Source organism: Homo sapiens, chromosome 11, assembly GCF_000001405.40.
Source record: "Homo sapiens chromosome 11, GRCh38.p14 Primary Assembly".
NCBI lineage: Eukaryota > Metazoa > Chordata > Mammalia > Primates > Hominidae > Homo > Homo sapiens.
In genome coordinates this window covers 125,238,802-125,258,235 of record NC_000011.10, presented here as the reverse complement: position 1 = coordinate 125,258,235, position 19,434 = coordinate 125,238,802, and the positions used below count along the sequence as shown (strand labels likewise).

At 48.7% G+C, this 19,434-nt stretch overlaps 1 protein-coding gene across 28 annotated transcripts in view; it reads right to left on the bottom strand.

Moving 5' to 3' along the window:
- PKNOX2 (PBX/knotted 1 homeobox 2) overlaps positions 1 to 19,434 on the bottom strand; it is a 268,639-nt gene that overhangs the window by 175,154 nt on the left and 74,051 nt on the right. For 2 of the 28 annotated variants that reach the window (NM_001382328.1, NM_001382331.1), the window contains exon 3: positions 18,508 to 18,620. The exons of the other annotated variants lie outside the window; for them this stretch is intronic. The gene's annotated coding sequence lies outside the window, so the exon portion shown is untranslated. The remainder of the gene's footprint in view (positions 1 to 18,507; positions 18,621 to 19,434) is intronic. 28 annotated transcript variants of the gene reach the window in all.

The window sequence follows — 19,434 nt, the reverse complement described above, 5'->3', positions numbered from 1 at the left end:
GTGTGCATGGTGCTTGAGGGGACAGGGTGACAGGAAGAAAGAAGCTAAGGAAAGTCTATGAGGAAGCTGAGGTTGCAGGGGTGCTGGGGTGGGTGTGGCGGAAGAAAGCTTTGGTGACCAGCTGCACTGGTTCTGCCAGGGTTGGGACCTGACAATAAGGCAGTAGGGGGCTGGCAGCTGGCTCTGGGGTCCTAAAACCCCAGGGAAGGCCATCTTCAACTGGGGCAGGGCTGAATTCTTTCTGCAAGCTCAGGTGCCCTGAGGCCTGCCACTTTTCCTTCTTGGGAAGGCAGGTTAACAAATTCCTGCCGTTAACAGTCACTAAGGCTATAGGGAAAGTGCTTCCTACTCCACGCCACTGGCTTAATGATGAGACCAGAGGCAGGCCTGAGCCTCCGAGCTCTCATGCAAAGTCTAAGTGAGCAGACAAGCTTCAGAGGGGCAGAAAAATGGAAACAAAACAGACAGGAGACAGAATGGTAGAGTGACAATGACGATGAAAAGGGCAACCTAAATTTACCTACCCTTCACTAAGTCCTTGCCGTGTGGTGGACACTGTTCTAAAACGTCATCCCTTTTCATCCTTACCTGTGGGCAGGATCGTCAGCTGCTGCTTCTTCATTTTTACAGCAGGGAAACTGAGGCTGAGAGAAGTTACTAACTGCCCAATGTCAGATTCTTAGTAAATGAAGAAGTTGGATTTCAAATCCAGATTTGTTCGATTCCGAAGCCCGTACTCCTAACCATTGCTGGAATAAACATGGAGGTATCCTACTGGGATCCTGCAGGTCTTGAAAACAGCCTCCAGCTCACTGGCCAGCCCCTGCACTTGGCTTCTTTGGCCACTGGAGGCGGGTTTGACCATTGGAGGCCATGAAGATGTTCTATCAACAGCACAATCTCAGAAAGTACCAGATGGTTCCTGCTTCCCCTCTCCCCTCTCCCCTACCTCCGACAAGCAGGTGAGCCAGCCGGGGACAGCGAAGAGGAAAAGGAGCAGGGATTCCTCTAGTGCTGAGTTTTAATGTATGTTCTTTTGTAAACAAGAACAATCATTTGTGAACAGGCCCAGATGCAAACAGTCCCCAAATCAGGAATTCCAGCTCAGAGGCACAGAATAATACAGCTTTGGGGAAGATTTAATAATAGTAAAATTAAAATTGTAACTGAAGCATAATGAAGAATGTGGTACAAACAAGCACTGCAAAGAAGAAGGAAAAAAAAAAAACCCTACACAGATTAGCCCCTATGGAATAGTGATTGGTTGAGAGCAACAGTAAACAATGCACAGAAATGCAACTTAATTATCTCGCAATTCTCAATATTCTACCAAAGCCACAAGGAAAGCTTTGATGTTGGCAGCCGAGACAGAGGCGGCTGCAACGGAAGCAGAAGCCTCTCTCTCCCCTGCTCCTGGAGGAAGATCATTACTAAGAAATCTGCAGCCACTACAGCAGCTGAGCCAGAGAAGAGCAGCGGGATTGATCTGCTGAGAAACCAGGAAGTGGCTATCTGGAAAAAAAGTATCTCTCAGGGGGCTGCCAAGTCAGGGGGTTGGTGAACAAAAATGGAGCTCTGAGGTTCAGGGGCTCAAGGATGAGGACTGGCAGGGGGAGGCACCGCTGACCACCAATCCCCAGAGATAAGTGTGTACCTGGGGCCTGGCAACCCCAGCACTGGCTTGGTGGCACCAGGAACTCACTGGATGGAGTCTGGGTGCCCTTCCCCGGCCCCAAATGCACAGAGTGGGTACTACCTGGTCAGGAAAACCTCCCTTCTTCCTGGTTTTCACCTGAGGTGCCTGCCCAGGGTTTAGGGTGGTGGGGAACAGTCCCAGAGGAAGGAGGATACTTGATTCTGAAGACTTCTGAAGAGACAGACTCAGTGGGCACCCACATACAGAAACCCAGTCCCTGAAGCCCTTTTTATCTCTGCTTGTCTGATGTCCTAGGCAGGCTCCTGGCTTTGTTTAGTTGGGCCCTGAAGTGCCTTGGAAACTGTGTCTTGGGTCTTCCCCTGTTCATGGAATGGGGAGGCTGCTGTAGCTCCCCAGCAATTGCCACTGCCCTGGAATAAAATATTTTCTGTGGCTTCTCAGTTCTGGAAGTTTCACCCTGACGTTTCAGCCTGGAGTCCATCCCCACCGTCTTCCCAGCAGGCTAAGTTCCCTCATTTCCTGAGATTGGAGAACTCAGGGCCGAGGAGCATCAGAGGAACAGTCCTGGTCTTTCTGTATTTCTTTTACTCCTGATTCCAGATTTTGATGAAGGGAGGTCATGGAGCCCTCCAAGGGGATACTGGTGAAAACTGAGGTAGCCTATACTAGATGCATGACTTCTAGCTGTGGGCAAGGGGCTGGGAAGGGTAGAGACCATCTCAGTATTGATTACCTTTATTTGGAATGCTGAACTTGGGAGACTCTGGTGTGTTGGTGCTGGGCAGAGTCTCTCCAGAACCCTGCTCATTTGGCAGGGCGACTTCCAGAAGTGAACAAAGCCCGTCCCCCACCTTGCCCCCCACCTCCCAACAACCACCCTGTTACTCTCTAGTACGTCACCCCGCATGTGACTTGGACAGCTCTTGTCTCATTCTGAAAATATCTGGTTTATGTGTTTATTTATAGTTGATTGTCCAATCCCCTTCCCCACTAACACAGAAATTCCTTGAGGGCTGGGGCCTTGTTGGTGCCATTCAGCAATGAGCCCCAGTGCCTGGCATGGGGCAAGCTCTCCATAAGCATTGGTTGAATAAAGGAACAAAATGCCCAGGTTGCTCCCATAAGAGCCAGGGTCAAGGGCCTCAGGACCCACTGTCATCCCTGTCCTGCCTTTGTCAGTCTCATCCCGGGGGTGGGCTGGGCTCATTTCAAATGCCCAACCTCATGATATGAGCGAGGCTAGAGCTCAGGGAAATGAGGGGTCTTGAGGCATCACGGAAATGCTCCTGGGGTCTGGAGATGTCATGGAGACATATAGAGAACCCTCACTGGGTGGTTCCAGGCACAGCTCTGAGTCCTGGGTATGCATTCGCTCGTTTCATCTTCACAATGCCGATTTTTGATCCTGCTAAGCGCACTAACCAGCCATGTGGCCAGGATAGTCACTTTCCCTCCTGGGCAGCCTTATTTTTTCATCTATAAAATGGTGGTAAATGGGCATTAATCTGGAATACTTGCTAGACAGCAAACCCTGAAAGGACAGGGACTGTGTATCATTCGCGTTGCATCCTCAATATCTAGCACAATGCCGGGTGTGTGGTAAGTCTTTAATACATGTTTAAGAAGTGCGTAAAGTGATTTTCCACTTAGCTCCATTCCAGGATTCTAAGACTTCTTACCCTAAACCATCCACTGTCCAGCACTGTGCAGGCCACTTGCCATCCCCATCTGCTGTTTCCAAGAGCCCCTTGGGACCTCAGACTTAGAATTCACCTGGACACCGTCATCAATGTTACAGAAGGTGAGGTGGGAACAGGGCTCAGCTCTGGAACAGGAGGAAAAGAAGGTTGGCTAGAGCAAGCAGGGGATGCCATGTTACTCACCTGCACCTGGGGCTCAGCTTTGACCCAGCTCGGATGACAGGTAGTGTCACAATGCGGTTGTGATCCCCTACACAACCTGTGCAGGGTACAGGTATTCAAAACAAGCCAGTGAGTTAGGCGGGTCAGAACTGACTGTTCTCTTCATTGTATAGATGTGAAACTGAGGCTCAGAATGGTAAGCCACTTGCCCAAGGTCACACAGCCATTTAGTGATCAGGCCTCAAGACGAGGACTCCTGGCTCAGACCTGGGACTGCATTCCCTTTTCTTTCTCCCCTTGCTGCCCTCAGGCAGATCCCACTGGGTGAGGAGGGAGCTGCTGAGGAGGTGGCACCAGCCCCATGGCAGGGAGGTGGGCTGGGTAGAACCTCCAGGAACCCCATCGCCCCTTTGCAGCCCTGGCAAATGGCCATCAGTGCACCATCTGAGATTCAGGGAGATGGAAGCCACTGGTGAGTTTTTACACTTGGAATATATAAAGAGACATTTTTTTCTTTGTAAAAAGCGGTTCGGAAATTGCCCTGGTGCTAAATTTTTGCTGAGGACGTCAGATGTGTACACCTCTTCCCTTCAGTTGTCTAATGGCACAAGTGGTTCGCATCTCCATTTGTTTGTTTCCCTGGTGTGCGCGCTCTTCAGTCCCTAGGAGCTGGAGGAAGCCTGGTGTTACATAAGAACCTCATCAGGATAAACATCCAGCCAGACGCGGCTTCCTTCGATGCTCCCACCCAGCAGGAGCACTTATCCCAACCCCCACATTTCCCCAGAGTGCAGAGAGATGTGTGTTCCTGACAACCGCCCCCTTATTACCAAGTGGGTCCCTGGGAAGAGCTGAGTCCAATCTGGGGCATATCTAGACGCCTGGCTGCTCCTGCGATGAAGGGAACCAGGGGGTCCTCTTTGACTCCGACCTCCAGGGTCCCTCCTGAGCATCCTGGCTTCCCTAATAGCATTTATTTATTCATAGAAAGCCTACTAGGTGCCAGGCTCTGTGCTGGGTGCCAGTGATAGAGATGAGTGAGCCAGGATCCTTCCTTGGGAAAACCCAAGGTAGAAATGAGGTGACAGCCATGCCAAGGAATCACGACAAATCAGCGGTGCTATCACTGAGAAATGTATGAAGTCTGGGAACCAGGGAGGAAGGAAGTCCTAGCTCTGCCTGGGACCATCGGTGGCATTTGCACGGGACCCTGAAGGACACGTGCACATGAGGAGCAGCAGAACAGCAAGCGGAGGGCAGGGCTGAGCCACCCTCCTCTCCTCCTCACTCACACCCAAACAGGCTCTGGCCAGCAGGACTCTCTCCTTCCTTCTTTCATTCTGAGAAGGAAACTGCCACAGGGGAGGCCCAGTAGCCTGCGTACTTCTCCCTGTGCCTCTGTTTCCTCCTCTTTATGACAGAAAAAATGATAATATCTACATGATAGGACTGAGAGGCTATCATGCAAGTGCCTCAAAGAGTATCTGGGACAAGAGTAGGCCCTGATAAATGTGAAAAAGTTTTATTAAGATTTTTATTGCTATCACCACGAGTGTTGTGGGCAAGCTTCCAGGGACCCTAAGCAAATGCCTCAGAAGCATAAAGATATTTTTAGTTGTACTTAAATTCTTCACTTCCAACCCAAACATATCAGGAAGGGCCTTCCTACTCGTTCTTGACTGTGCAATGACAACTCCCTTAGAAGAGGTAGCCTTTGACCCTGGGAGCTGCTGGTGAATAGCCGAAGGCCTTGGTATGAGTTGTGTTGCCTGGGACAGAAGTTGGAGCCAATCAGTGACCTGCTCAGCTGACAGCTCACAGCATCCAGGTGCTTTTAAGAACTCGACAGATGCAGCTGTCTATGACCCCCTGAAGGAGTGAGCTGATGCCACCTGTAACCCTGATGCCACCTCCAACCCAAAGGCCGGGTTGGTAGAGGTCCTCTGGTGACAGTGACCAGGGTGGCCAGCTTCTGCTGGGATTTGTGCCTGGTCATCTCGCAGCCCGGGGGAGCTACATGGACCTCTCATTGGGTACCACACCTTGTCCTCGTTTTCAGGACCCCACCACTCAACATTCACCAGTTGCCCAAACCAGAAACCTAGAGCCCATCCTTGGTGCCTCCTCTACCTCCCACCACTCCCCCTTCTGAGCCTGCCATTTCTCCATCTGAAACACCTCATAAAGGTACACAGGTCTCTCTCTCCACTGCCTCTGGCTTCAGGCAGGTCATCATAATCTCTGGCAACAGCTTCCTGCAAGGTCTCCTTGCCTTGTTTCTTTTTTTGCCTTCCTCCAATCTATTCCACATATTGAAGCAGTGGCCACCTTTCCAAAACACAGATCTGGCCAAATCAATCTCCTGCTTAAAACTCTTCCACGTCCTTCGAGACTCTCCAGAGTCTCCAGCCCCAGCTTTCCCCACAGCCTTTGTCCCACACGATGCTCCTGAAATGTGGGAAATTTTGCATTTCACCTCATCAGCCAAGCCCTCTCTGGCTACCAGGATGTGATTCACCAAGCTCCCTCTGCCTGGAGTACTTCCACTCACTCCCTGGCCACTTCAGGTATCAGCCCTGATCCCACAAGGTTTCACAAAGTGCCCTCTTCACCGCTTGACGAGCGCTGTGGCCTTGCCTGATGGAGGCACTTAACATATTGTGCTAGAGGTGCCTGCTTACTTGTCAGCTGTCTCTCTTTGCTACCGTTCTATAAGCTCCAAAAGGCATATCTCTAACCTGAATAAGGCCTGAACAGAGTGGGCAATGGACAGGTGTTGAATGAATGACAATAGAACAAATGAATGAACAATGAAGAGACAGGATATATGAACTAAAAAAAAAAACTTGATTGATATAAAATAACATCACTGAGGCCATCACCACAGTGGAATCTGAGCTGAGGAGGTAGAAATATAATATATATATATATTTATATAATATATAATGAGGAGGTAGAAACACAGGATGGAGGCATGAATCCATCTGGGGGTTGAGCCAGCAGGAATGGAGGAAGAGAGGTTGGGTTGGGAACCAGCAGAAAGGCAGGCGGACCTCAGAATCAACTGCCCCTTCCCCTCTTGCTCCCCTGCACCCCATCTGTGTAGATCTCAGCTCCCAGAGAACAGAGTCTCATCAATAAAGGGACTTACACTATTTCATAAACTTTCTTTAAATTAAAATCCAGGCAACGCACACACATACACATATACCCCACAGACATCTTTGTCGCTGAAAAGTTGCTCCCTATAAAATAAAAGAAGCTGTTTAAATGTCTTCCTTCCAAGCTAGCCCCACAGAGCTGGAGCTGAGAATACATTAGCCTTTAATGAAGTGAGACTCTCATCTTCCAGGAGACACCTCATTTAGCGCAATTGTTTCAGAGCCATTACAGAAAGACAATTACAAGGAAGCGGGGAGAGTAATTGGAAATGCTGGCAGGAGTTGGGCGAAATGATAATAAATAAAAATATTCAACCTAATAAGCTTCCAGGAGGGATGGGATGAAGAAAATCAACATAATTAGAACTGAACCTTAGCAAGGAAAAACAGACAGCAGGGTGGCAAGTGCTCAACTTGTACAGGAAGAAAGAAGAAGTCACACGCCTCCCGTGATGACTCGGGGGCTACAGGCCGCTGGCCCCCTCCAGAAGCTGCCAGGGGGTGGAGGGGCGCCCGCAGCCCAGAGCCTGTTGGGCAATCAGCGTTATGCTGTTCCCAGCCACAGAAACCTGGGTGTGTGAAAAAGGCAAGCCCAGCCTGGCACGGCCAGGGGTCCCCCATATGCTGAGGGGAGGCAGAAGGAGGAACCTGGGCCCAGCCCCATTCTGCCCTGCCGATCTCCAGTTGTGCAGCTGTGGGGAGGAGGCCTCAGCTTTCTGAGCCTAAGTTTTCCCATTGTGGGATAAGGGAGGCAGACTGTGAGAGCTGTAAGTGCTCCATCTATGTTGTGTGAAAGCCTGCGGTCTCCTCCGATAGGTGTGTCTTCCTCTCATATTCAGTCCTTATCTGGCAGGTCACCTCTGTCGTTCTGAAATTTCAACACAGGAGCCTAGAAGTTAAGCCTAGTGACTCAGCCTAGACACCCTCGATATAAAAATCATTCCTGACCTCTCTCTGTTTTCCCCAGGGAGTGGTGATCCCTCCAGACTAGCGCTAGGCCCAGGTCTTTCCAGTGGGGTCTGGCACAGCTCCCGCAACACAGCAGCATTTGTTGAGAAGTCTGCCTGTCTCTAAAAGGCTGTGCGCACCGGAGCTCTTGCAGAGGAGATGATACAAGGCCTGGGACTTGTTTCCAAACAACCCCAGTGAAGAGGGAGGGCTGATAGTTGCTGAAGCTGGGTAATGAGTACATGGAGTTCATGATCTACTGCTTGTTCTCTTTCTTGAAATCTGTTTGAAAATTTACATTACAAAAATTTCTTGTTTAGTTATTTTTGTTTGTTTTTGAAAAAAAGAAATATACGTAACTTGAGGTGAAGGACCTCAAATTTATCACCCCAAGCTGGGCATGGTGGCATGCACCTGTAGTCCCAGCTACTCAGGAGGTTGAGGTGGGAGGGTCATTTGAGGCTAGGAGTTCGAGTCTAGCCTGGGCAACATAGTGAGACTCCCATGTCTAAATTGTTTTTTTTTTTTTTTTTTTTTTTTTTGAGACAGAGTTTTGCTCCTGTTGCCCAGGCTGGAATGCAACCACGTGATCTCTGCTCACCGCAACCTCTGCCTCCCGGGTACAAGCGATTCTCTTGCCTCAGCCTCCCGAGTAGCTGGGTTTGCAGGCATGCGCCACCACACCTGGCTAATATTTTTAGTAGAGATGGGGGTTTCACCATGTTGATCAAGCTGGTCTTGAACTCCCAACCTGAGGTGATCCACCCACCTTGGCCTCCCAAAGTGCTGGGATTACAGGCGTGAGCTACCGCGTGCAGCCCAAAATTTTTTATTTTAATTTTGTCGCCCCAGTTCCTATCTTAGAACCTGGTACACAGAAGGCACATACAGTTGTTTTTTGGTATCTGCATGGGATTTGTTCCAGAATCCCACTTGGATACCAAAATCCATGGACACTCGAATCCGTGATACGAAATGGTGTTGTATTTGCATATAACCTACACATATTCTCCCATATACTTTAAATCATCTCCAGATTACCCATAATACCTGATACAATGCAAATGCTGTGTAAATAGTTGTAATACTATATTGTTTAGGAAATAATGACAAGAAAAAAGTCTGCACATGCTCAGTGAAGATGCAGCCATCCCTTTTTCTTTTCTCCAAATATTTTTCATCTGCTGTTGATTGAATTCGTGGATGTGGAACCTATGGATACAGAGGGCTGACTATTCTTGTTTATTTGCTGCACCATGGTTCTCTAGCTATACTATTTAGAAGTAAATCATTGAGGACCAAATCAAAGTCAAATTTTAAAACTTTAAAAGATTCTCCAATAGTATCCATTAGTATCCCATAGTATCCATTTAAATCAGTATGAGTCCAGCCACACATATTTGCAAGTGCCTGCCATGTCCTAAGACCCGGAGATTCCCAGGGGAATAGGATCCCCAGATGTTTACAAAACTCTACCAGTAAAAATTTATAATCACCCTCAAGATGCACACATATAAACATGTGTGTGTGTATATATGTGTTATATATATTATATATAATATATAGGTTATATATACTATATTATATAAGTTATATATAATATATTATGTATGTTATATATACATATATTATATGTATATATGTATGTATATATACATGTATATACGTTATATAATGTATATTATATATGTTATATATATACGTTATATATATTATATATGTTATATATATACGTTATATATATATATTATATATGTTATATGGATGGAGGATCACTTGAGGGCAATTCAAGTCCACCCTGGGCAACATAGTGAGACCCATCATATAGGACACACCATATACTGGTACAGTAGTGTGGCTTGTATAAAATGTATATATTATAACATATAATATAAATGTGTTATATATAATGTGTATATATAACATACATAACATGTATTATATATAACACATATCATATATGTGTATGTGTTGTATATATGTCTTATATATCTTATATATAATACATCTATATTATATGTTACAATATATACATTGCATATAAGCCACACTACTCTACCAGTATATGATGTGTCTTATAAAACACATTTCAAAAATAGAAATCTAAGTAAAATAAGATTTTTTAAAAATACAAATAAGTAAAGTCGCAAGATTTTCTTCTCTTATTCCAATGGCCCATCTTGTTTACTCTGTTTTGGAGGCTTTGCCTGTAGAGTATCAGTGTCCTGGGACCCGACAGAGCTGCTGTGCAAAAGTAATTCCAGTCTGCTCAGTATACCAAGCAGAATTTAACACCTGCTTTTCTTTTGCTGGCCATAACATCTAGTTTCCAGTAACTAGTGACAAATTGCCTTCAGGTTCATTAGAACCCTGGAGCAGAAAACTCCAAGCAGTGGATGAGAGAAAAACCCAGACACCTCCCTCTGAGACAAACAAGAAATAGTCCTGTTCATTTGTTCATTTGGGAAACATCTATTGCAAATTCAGCACTTGCCAAGAGCCAGGCCAGGCAGAGCGAGGGCTACAGAAGCATCAGCCATGGACCGAGGACTGACATGGCCCAGGGGAAAAGGACAGACACAGACATACCTGGGATGGTCAGTGGCAGGAGGTTCAGGCCAGGGGCTCTGGGAGGAAGAAATTGCTTTCCCCTGAAGGATCTTCTTAAGAAGACTTTGTGGAAGAGGTGGATAGGAGCTAGCGGGATGGGAAGAATTCGGCCATGTGGAGAGCAAAAAAAGACTTTGGGAAAAGGAAATGTCCTTGGCAAAGATACAGGGGCAATACATTAAGGGTCATTCTTCTCTGCCTATCCTGCGCACCTCTGGAGATCCCATATCCTGAGGCTGGGTGGGGAGACAGCAAATCCTTACTAGAATTGCAAGTAACAGAGACATGGAAGGGCTCTCAGACTGAACACCCTGGAAACTAGAGAGGGAGGCTGCTGCTCTGACAACCTCTCTTCAAGCATGCCAGTGAAGGAGGCTGCTGAAGTTGTCCAACAAAACAAGCATTTATTGAGTGCAAAAGGCTAACGAGAGGGGAAGGCATTCCAATAACCCAGCATTCTCTGCTGCTGTGGAGGGACTGGGCATAATCTGCCCTGCAGACAAGGCAGAAGAGATGACCCCAGGGCCTGTGCTGGCTCTAGGACATCATACTTTGGCCTCTAGTGCCCTTCACTAGAGCTAGGCACCTCTGGTAGAGACAGTATAGAAACCCAGGGTGAGGAAGAGTCCCAGGAGGATGTTCAGTGGGCACTGTGAGCTCAAGGAAGATGAGCCCAGCACAGATGTTGTCACAGAGGCACTCCTCATCAGGAAACTGGGTTCCAACCAGGTAAACATGGGGTGTAGAGGGCATTCGAGGCAAAGAGGACCTCATGTGGATAAGCACAGAGGAACAAAGGGGTACAGAAGCCCAAAATCCTGCCGGGAAAGGCAGATGGTTCTGGGATCTGCCAATTCCAAAGAAAGCAGAAACTGTTGGGGCCTGGGAGGAGACAAGAGGCCCTGGGGGTCGTTTTCAGGCTAACCCTGCTGTGCCTAGCACTGGGTACTACACACAGCCAGTGCTTAATAAATGCATTTTTATTGTAGATTGTCATTTCTAGGAAGTAAGGGCTGGGATAAGCAACTTATTCTTGTAAAGCCCCTGGCAGTGTCACATGCTGAGATGCATTTATTAAAGTCTTTTGATGAGAGAGGGAGGAGAGAGAATGGGAAAGTGAGGAGGGTGAGCTGAAGCAGGGGTTGCCCATCCTCATCTCCACAGCCTCCCTAATGCCCAGGATCAAAGCACAGGGCCTAAGAGGGAAAAGTAGACAGGAGCTGTGGAAGAAAAAGCAAAATGCACAGTGATGTCTTGAGTCCCCATCTAGGGTCAAGCATGCCTAACATTTCCCTTAATATTCCCAACAATCCTGTGGGGTGAGATCATTATTATTCTTTAATAGATGGAGAAACTAAGGCTAAGACATGGTCATAGGGAGGAAGTGGGACAGCAGACATTTGAGCTCAAATTTAATGTCCCTCCATTGTACCATCTTCCTCCAGATGCTGTGGTCCTGCCCAGACCACAGGGCAAACCGGGGAAGGGGAAGGCAGAGATGAGCACCAGTAGCGTGTCCCAGGAATATTCCTGCTATGGTTTGAACATTTGTCTCTTCCAAAACTCATGTTGAAATTTAATTGCCATTATGACTATATTGGAAGGCAGGGCCTTCAAGAGGTGTTTAGGTCATGAGTGTGCCACCTTTATCACGGGAGTGGGTTTGTTATTGCAGGAATGTGTCCCAGTCCCTCTTGCTGTCTCTCTCTGGCCCTCTCTTTTGTGCTTCTGCCATGTGATGCCTCCTGCCATGTTATGACACAGCAAGAAGGCCCCTGCCAGATGCCAGCACCTTAATCCTGGACTTCCCAGGCTCCAGAACTGTGAGAAATAAATTCCTGTTTACTATAAATTATCCCATCTCAGGTATTCTGTTACAGTAGCACAAAACAGATGAAGACACCTCCTGGCTATTCTTCCTGTTCCCTGGACATCTCTAGGTAGAACCCCAGGAATTGGTGAGGTTCTTCTTCCTGAGGTCTGGGGTCCACAGTAGCCTCCTATCCCCTTTCCACCCTGGTTTCTCGCTCCAATCTTATTTTACATTTTGCATCTAGAAAGATAGCACTCACCCTTAAAAACAAAACAAAACAAAACCCCTGGACTTTCCCAGGCCTTGGCATCACTTCCCTCCCAGTAGTTGGGAGTCCTAAGGTTCCAGACCAGCCTGAATTTCAGTTTCCTCACTCAGTACTGAGAAACTCAGTAACCACTAAGGTCCCTTCAGCAACCTATGAGCCTCTCCTTCACTCCTCAAACTTCTTTTCCTTTTGCTCCCTGCCCCATCCCTCAGAAGCCAGGGTTCCCCTTCTCCTGGTGAGTCAGCAGCAGCCTGAGCTTACCCATCATAGGTCCCCAGAAGTCCCAGGATAAGCCATCCTAATGGGGGCAGGCTAGGACCAGGGCCTCTGTACAACCCGGCCAGGGCATGCTGGTCAGAGGATTTGGGGGAGGCCGCACCATTCCTGATTCAAAGCCAAGTCCAATTGCTTCATTTGAGAGAGAGCTCCAAGTGCAGTGGAAAGCACATAGTCTTTGGCGTCATGCAGACCCAGGTCTGAATCCCGGTGGCTCTGCTTTTTAGCAGTGGAAACATGAATGTGTTGCTTGGCCTTTCTGAGCTCCAGTCCCTGGTTTGTCCTGACTCAGAGGGCTGGTGGAGGGTGACCACAGATAGTGCATGTGAAGCACTTGGCACAGGCCTGTCACACAGCAGAAACTATTCTCTGATGCCTCCTAGACTGGTATATTAGTAGGACTCCTAAAGTATAACACTTGACAGTCATGGGGATCACATGGCATAAGGGAAGAGAAGCTGCCAGCCATGCTCAGCCAGCCACCAAGGCTGAGTAGTTTCAGGATAAAACACACACCTTCCAGCATGGAAGGTCTCCCCCAGGGAGAGTCCCAGATGGGTCACTTGATACACTTTTTTAAAAATTGGGTTTAAAGTTATAAAACAGCAACAGTGAACTTCTCCTGCCTCTGCAGGTACATGGTCCCAGGTGGGGAGTGGCGGCATTAATTAAATTCACCCAGTCTCCCCCATGAGACCAGGTAGTCTCAAGCCCAGACACCACCCACCACGTGGTCTCCTGCACCAGGAAATGGGTCCTCACAAGTCCCAGCCTGGAAAAGGATCCACTTTCTAGACCAGTCTCACAAGCACCCTGCCCTCCCCCAGATGCTCACCCCAACCTAGCCTAATTCAGTCCTAAGTATTCCTAAGGTGCCTTCCAATTTCCCGCTGTAATAAATGGCACAGAATGCAAATGGAGGTGGATGTGGGACACAGATGTTTGCACTAATTTAATTGAGGGAACACCTTGGATTAAACACTTTGCAAAACACTCACAAATAGGTTCAGTGCATTTGGTAATGAAAAGCCTCCCAGCCCCCTGGCACTTTGCTGAGGCTGCCTGGGGCTGGGAGTGGGAGGGCAATGTGGGAAAGGCCTAGAGCAGGCAAGACACAAGATGCCTCCAACTCAGGGGGAAGGCGAGGGAGCCAGGTCCCTGGGAGGGTTTATAGCAGATTCTTTGCCAGCTGGGGCCAACCCCACCAAGAGACAGATCTGGAAGGGTTGGGGATAAGGGGAGGCAGCGTCTGCATCCCCAGGTGGAGAACTGCTCACCTCTAGAGGTCGGCAACAGGCAGATGCCTCTCCATCCTCAGGACGCAGCTCCAGCATGTAGGCCTCACTGCCCAGCTGGCTGAGGGCCAGACACCCACCTACAGGGGACTGGGGTCCCCAGACCCTGTGACCCCAAGGAAGATCAGCCTTGCTGACATTTGGAGCATGAGGTTGGCTGGGAAATATCTCAGAAATGTGGGGGTGATTTGCAAGGCAGTACTGATCTCTCTGCAGCTTCTTCTTCCTTGCTTTGCCCTGTAGCTCAGGGTGCTTCAGAAGCTCCAATCTTGTGCAGTTACCAAGCTCCAACCCTTCCCTTCATCTTTCATCCTTCCATCCATTCATCCACTTGGCTCTGGGGCTCCAGCAATGAGTGAAGCCCAGTACCTCCCCTGGCAGTGCACACTGGTAAGAGAGGCAGGCTTTAAGGGTCCCAGGTACAGGCTGGGCATGGTGGCTCACGCCTGCAATCCCAGCACTTTGGGAGGCCAAGGCAGGCAGATTACGAGGTCAGGAGATCGAGACCATCCTGTCTAACACAGTGAAACCCCGTCTCTACTAAAAATACAAAAAATTAGCCAGGCATGGTGGCGGGCACCTGTAGTCCCAGCTACTCGGGAGGCTGAGGCAGGAGAACGGCATGAACCAAAGAGGCGGAGCTTGCAGTGAGCTGAGATCACGCCACTGCACTCCAGCCTGGGCGACAGAGCGAGACCCTATCTCAAAAAAAAAAAAAAAAAGAAAGTCCCAGGTATACTGTGATAGACTCCCTCATGGCAGTAAACTTGGTAACCTGGGTGCCTGGAAAGAGTGCAGCAACTATGGCACAAGAGGTGAAAAGATCAGTGGAGAAAAGAGCGAAAAGCATCTTTGGCAGAGGGAACAGCATATGCAAAGATAACGAGACATGGAGTCCAGACAATGGCAGAGACTTGGGAAGACGATTTCCATGGGCCCACTTTGGGGACAGGTGGCTTAACTGAAGATGGCCCACTTTCTCAGACTCATCCTCCCACCCCAGGGACAGTCCACCCAGAAGGGGAGAGGGAAGGGCCTCTGGGCTGAGCCTCCAGGCCCTGAAAGCTCCCACTGTTGGCTGAATCTAGAACCAGTTCCTATAACCATTGCTCTACAAGTCCCAGAGTTCAAATCAGGCCTAGATGATTTTACATTCCTGAAAACAGAATCCCTAATTTTCAAACACAGTGATCACTTCAAGTGTGATAACCATTATAGTAATAACCTCTTATATTTGTGCAGTGCTTTATAGTTTATAAAACACTTTCACATATCTCTTTTAATCCTCCACCAACAACCCTTCAAGAAAAAATAGGAAATATTATTATTCTTGCTTTCTAGATGAGAAAATTAAATCCCAAGTTCCCAGCTAAGTAAATAACAGAACCCAAGTCTGTCTGACACCAAAATGCACACTTGTTCAATCCTTCACTTATCCATTGCATTCGCTGAGCATTTGTTGAGCACCTACTGTGTACCTAGAAACACTGCAGGCTCAGCAGAGCATGATGGGGACGTGAGGATGATTGCAAGCCTAGATGAAGAGATAGGCCATGGACAGACGTGCCCCGACAAAGAACAACAAGCAGGGCACTAAAACTCAGGAGCCAAGAAGGACACACCCGCCACTCTCCTGAAAGACTGCCTCGCTCGCACACTCACACACAACCCGCCCTCCCCCCATCCCTGCCCCGCATTGCACAGGAAGACCTGAGCCATTTCCCCTGGGCTGCTCTATCCCCAGCATGGAATGCAGACTCCTCCACCCCTGATGTCCCCCCACCAGCTGGGCAGCAGTCCAGAACCAGTAACCAGAGGCCACCCTTCAGGGCCTGTGCACCACTCAGGCCCCCAGCACATGCAGACACACACAGGCAGGTACATGCAGGCATCCTAGAACATGTATGAACCCTGGCATCGTGGGGAGAGAGAGTAGGGCAAACTCCCAGAGCGGCTTAGCTTCCAGTAAGGATGGATGGGTGGATGGGCAGGTGGGGGTATGAAGAGGGGAGACTGGGAAGTATAGGAGCTTTTACCTCCCTACAGGGAGATGCTCCTGGGGTTCCCCAGTGGGCCCCGTTACAGACCAACACTGCCTTGCCCTCCGATGACAACAGGCCAGCCTCAGTTCCCTCTGCAAAAATAGTACCCACCTCACATGTGAGCATGTGCGAAATGAGACAGCGACACACCAAGCACAGGGCCCCCACATAGACGGGGAACCACAGATGAAGTGCCCCTACTCATCTTGTGAAATGAAGGTGATGAATGGATAGGCAGCTCCCTCTGCATGGTGCATGGTGTCAGCAGAAATCAGTCTCCTGCTCCCCGCCGCCATCCCCCTCCACCTTCACCATCCATCCTGGAGCTTGGGGGCTTAACTGGAGAGTACCTCTCCATCACTCCACCCTCTTCACCTTGAATCATACATTCATCCTTCATCCTTTCTCTCTCTCTCTCTTTTTTTGTTCATTTGTTTTGTTGTTGTTTTTTGATGAAGTCTTGCTCTGTCACCCAGGCTGGAGTGCAGTGGCATGATCTCAGCTCACTGCAACCTCCACCTCCTGGGTTCAAGCAATTCTCCTGCCTCAGCCTCCTGAGTAACTAGGATTACAGGCATGCGCCACTACGCCTGGCTAATTTTCGTATTTTTAGTAGAGACAGGGTTTCACCATGTTGGTCAGTCTGGTCTCGAACTCCTGACCTCGTGATCTGCCCACCTTGCCCTCCCAAAGTGCTGGGATTACAGGCGTGAGCCACCGCGCCAGTCCCCTCCTTTCTCTTAATCAGTCTTGTAGGGTGCCTGTTATGACCAGGAACGATTCAAGGTATTGGGATTGAAAGAAGAATGGGGTTCAATGGTTTACATGGATAGATAGACTAATAATTGTGTTTGAGTCTTGTGATGGTCTACAGGCAAAGGAACGCAGCAGCATAGGGATGGGGGAGGCTGGGAAGGCCTGTAAGGAGGAAGTCACAGAGGAGATAAATGAGCAAGGGCCGCCCAGGCTGAGGATAGTCCAGATAAGCAGCATGTGCAAAGGCACCGAGGCATAAAAGTACACAGAGTATTTGTTGGGGGAGATTGAGCAATCCGGCATAGTTGGGGTTTCAGCTATAGGAGTGTGCCTGTGTATCTGAGTGTCTGTATTTACAGGGATGGGGAGCAGCTGCAGGGTGAGAGATGAAGTTAGGAAAGTAGACCAGGGTTGAACCGTGAAGCCCATGGTCAGCCAGGCCAAGAAAGCTGAACTTCAACCTGTGGATAGCAAAGAACCACTGGAGGTGGTCCAGCATGGGGATGGCATGGCCGCATATCACAGCAGCATTAATTAGGCTCCAGCTATCGCAAGCACAGCGCTAGGCTCCTCCAGATACGGGAGGCTCTCCTTGGCTAGCTCTGATGATAAATGGGTCTAATGAGGTATTTTCCTCTTTGATCCATGCAACTATCCCTGGAGAAATGGCTAGCTTTGGAGCAATTTTTCCTCTCTGAAGAGCCAGCTTGGCTGGCTAACTGCAAAGGCAAGAGGAGGGGACCCTACACCATCACTAGTCCCCCCACAGCCAAGGATACTGGGAGCAGCACTTGGAAACCCTTCAGAACCTTCTTATAAGCCTCCCGGTTCTCCCTCTGAGGATTTGAGAAGGATCTGAGAATGGGTAATGGTGGAAGTGACAGGCACCACAGAGAAAGAAAAAAGAGGGAAATCCTTTCAGGCTGGACAAGGATTTAGAACTGCATTTCAGTGGATGAAGAAAGGCGATTTGGGTGGTGGCAGCCACCTTGCAGCTTCCAAACTCTGCTCAAAGCCTCTTGCCCTGCTTGCAGCGGGAAAGGGTCTCTCTCCCTTTCCACCTCTTCTCTCTCCTCCCTCCCATCCCTCCTTCCCAGCTCCTCTCCAGAAAGGTTTATGGAGAAGACTCCAAATAGCCACCTCTCCTGCAGGCATAGTCACACCAACTGAAAGGAGATTTAATTAGCAAAATCTCGTTAGGCAAACGAAATTATCCGTAAGACAATACTCTTCTGGACAGGGGGTATGATTAAACAAAGCCATTAATTGAGAGAGTCGCCTTGGCAGCTCCCAGATGCGTTCATCTCTGGGCCGGCTCCACTCGGCCTCCTTGGGCCAGGGAAACAGACTCTTTGCCTCCTCCCCTGCCCGGTCCACCCCCTCCCCACTCCATCTCACTCTTCCGGGGCGCCTCCAGTTGGGGCTGCAGACCTCGGCATCTCATCAATCGGCCTCTCTGCCGCCAGATTCCTGCTAAAGTGCCTTGATTGCATAACGTCTATTTGCATAATGTAAATTGCAATCTCCTAGCTCAGGAGGCAGGAATCACAGAACAGCCATTATTTTTTACCACTCCACAAAAATTCTACATTTAGAAAGCAGATTTGCAGCTCGGAAAGCCTGAATCCGAATCCTCCAGAAATGCCATTAAATCACACCAATTAAGCTGGACCAACTAAATGCCCCTGTCACTGCTCTCTGCACACTCAAGGACTACCAGCCTAGATGGAGGCCATGAGAACCTGGAGGCTGGGGCCACGGAGCTGGCTGCAAAGCCGGAAGAGGCAGGAAATTCTGCCTTATAAACCTTAGCACACACCCTTCGAGCATAGGTTCCCATCAAGATCTGGTCGAGCGGGGTGGATCGAGTCTGTTGTTTTTACGCTCATTGCCTGATTTCTTGCGGGCACTCTGACTGTCTGTAGATGCAATCTACGGAGGAAAGAGCATGTGAAGAAGAAACCTCCACCTTTCACAAAGGTAATGGGAAGATCCAAAGTGTTTCACATGGGGTAAAACATCCACCCTTTTAGTGGTTCTTTAATGACCTTTTCTCTCTCCTTGCAAGTCCCCTCCAGCCAACTGAAATAAAAAATGAGGACAAACCCTACTCAGGCCAGGCTGGGCTGGCTGGATTCTGAGCTGTTTTTGAGAGCTGTTTCCTTAGGGGTCACTGGGGTGAAGGGTGAGTTACAAGGTCTCTGGAAAGCGGGCATTCCCTTGGACAGCCAGCCAGGATCCTAGCTCCTCTGCAGCAGTATACCTGGCTAGTGTTTTGCCTCTTTATTGCTCATTCAATATTCATTTGTCAAAGGGCAAGACACTAATGTGTATTATTAAAATATCAATAGTTTATGAGTGAACTTTTATGGAGAGTACAGTTAAAGGCAAGATTCTTGACCGTCTCTGTCAGAAGCAATGGAAAGGAATAGCCTTTCTTTCCAACTCCACTTTTTATTTATTTACTGGGCGAGTGAATGGCTGGAGCCTTAGTGAGTACCTATTGTGTGCCAAGAATGGCTCTAGGTACCTGCACATGCTGGATCGCAGTGAGTCCTCATAGCAGTCCTGGGAAGTATATACAACCCCATTTCTATTCCAGAGATGAGGAAGCCAAAGGCCAAAGAGATGTGCCCAGGATCACAGGGGTGCCAAGGCTGGGCTTCAAATCTGATCTTTGTACTTCAAATCCAACATTCTTCTCCCAAGCTGGAGCCTTGAAAATCTAAATGACCTTTATGTTTGT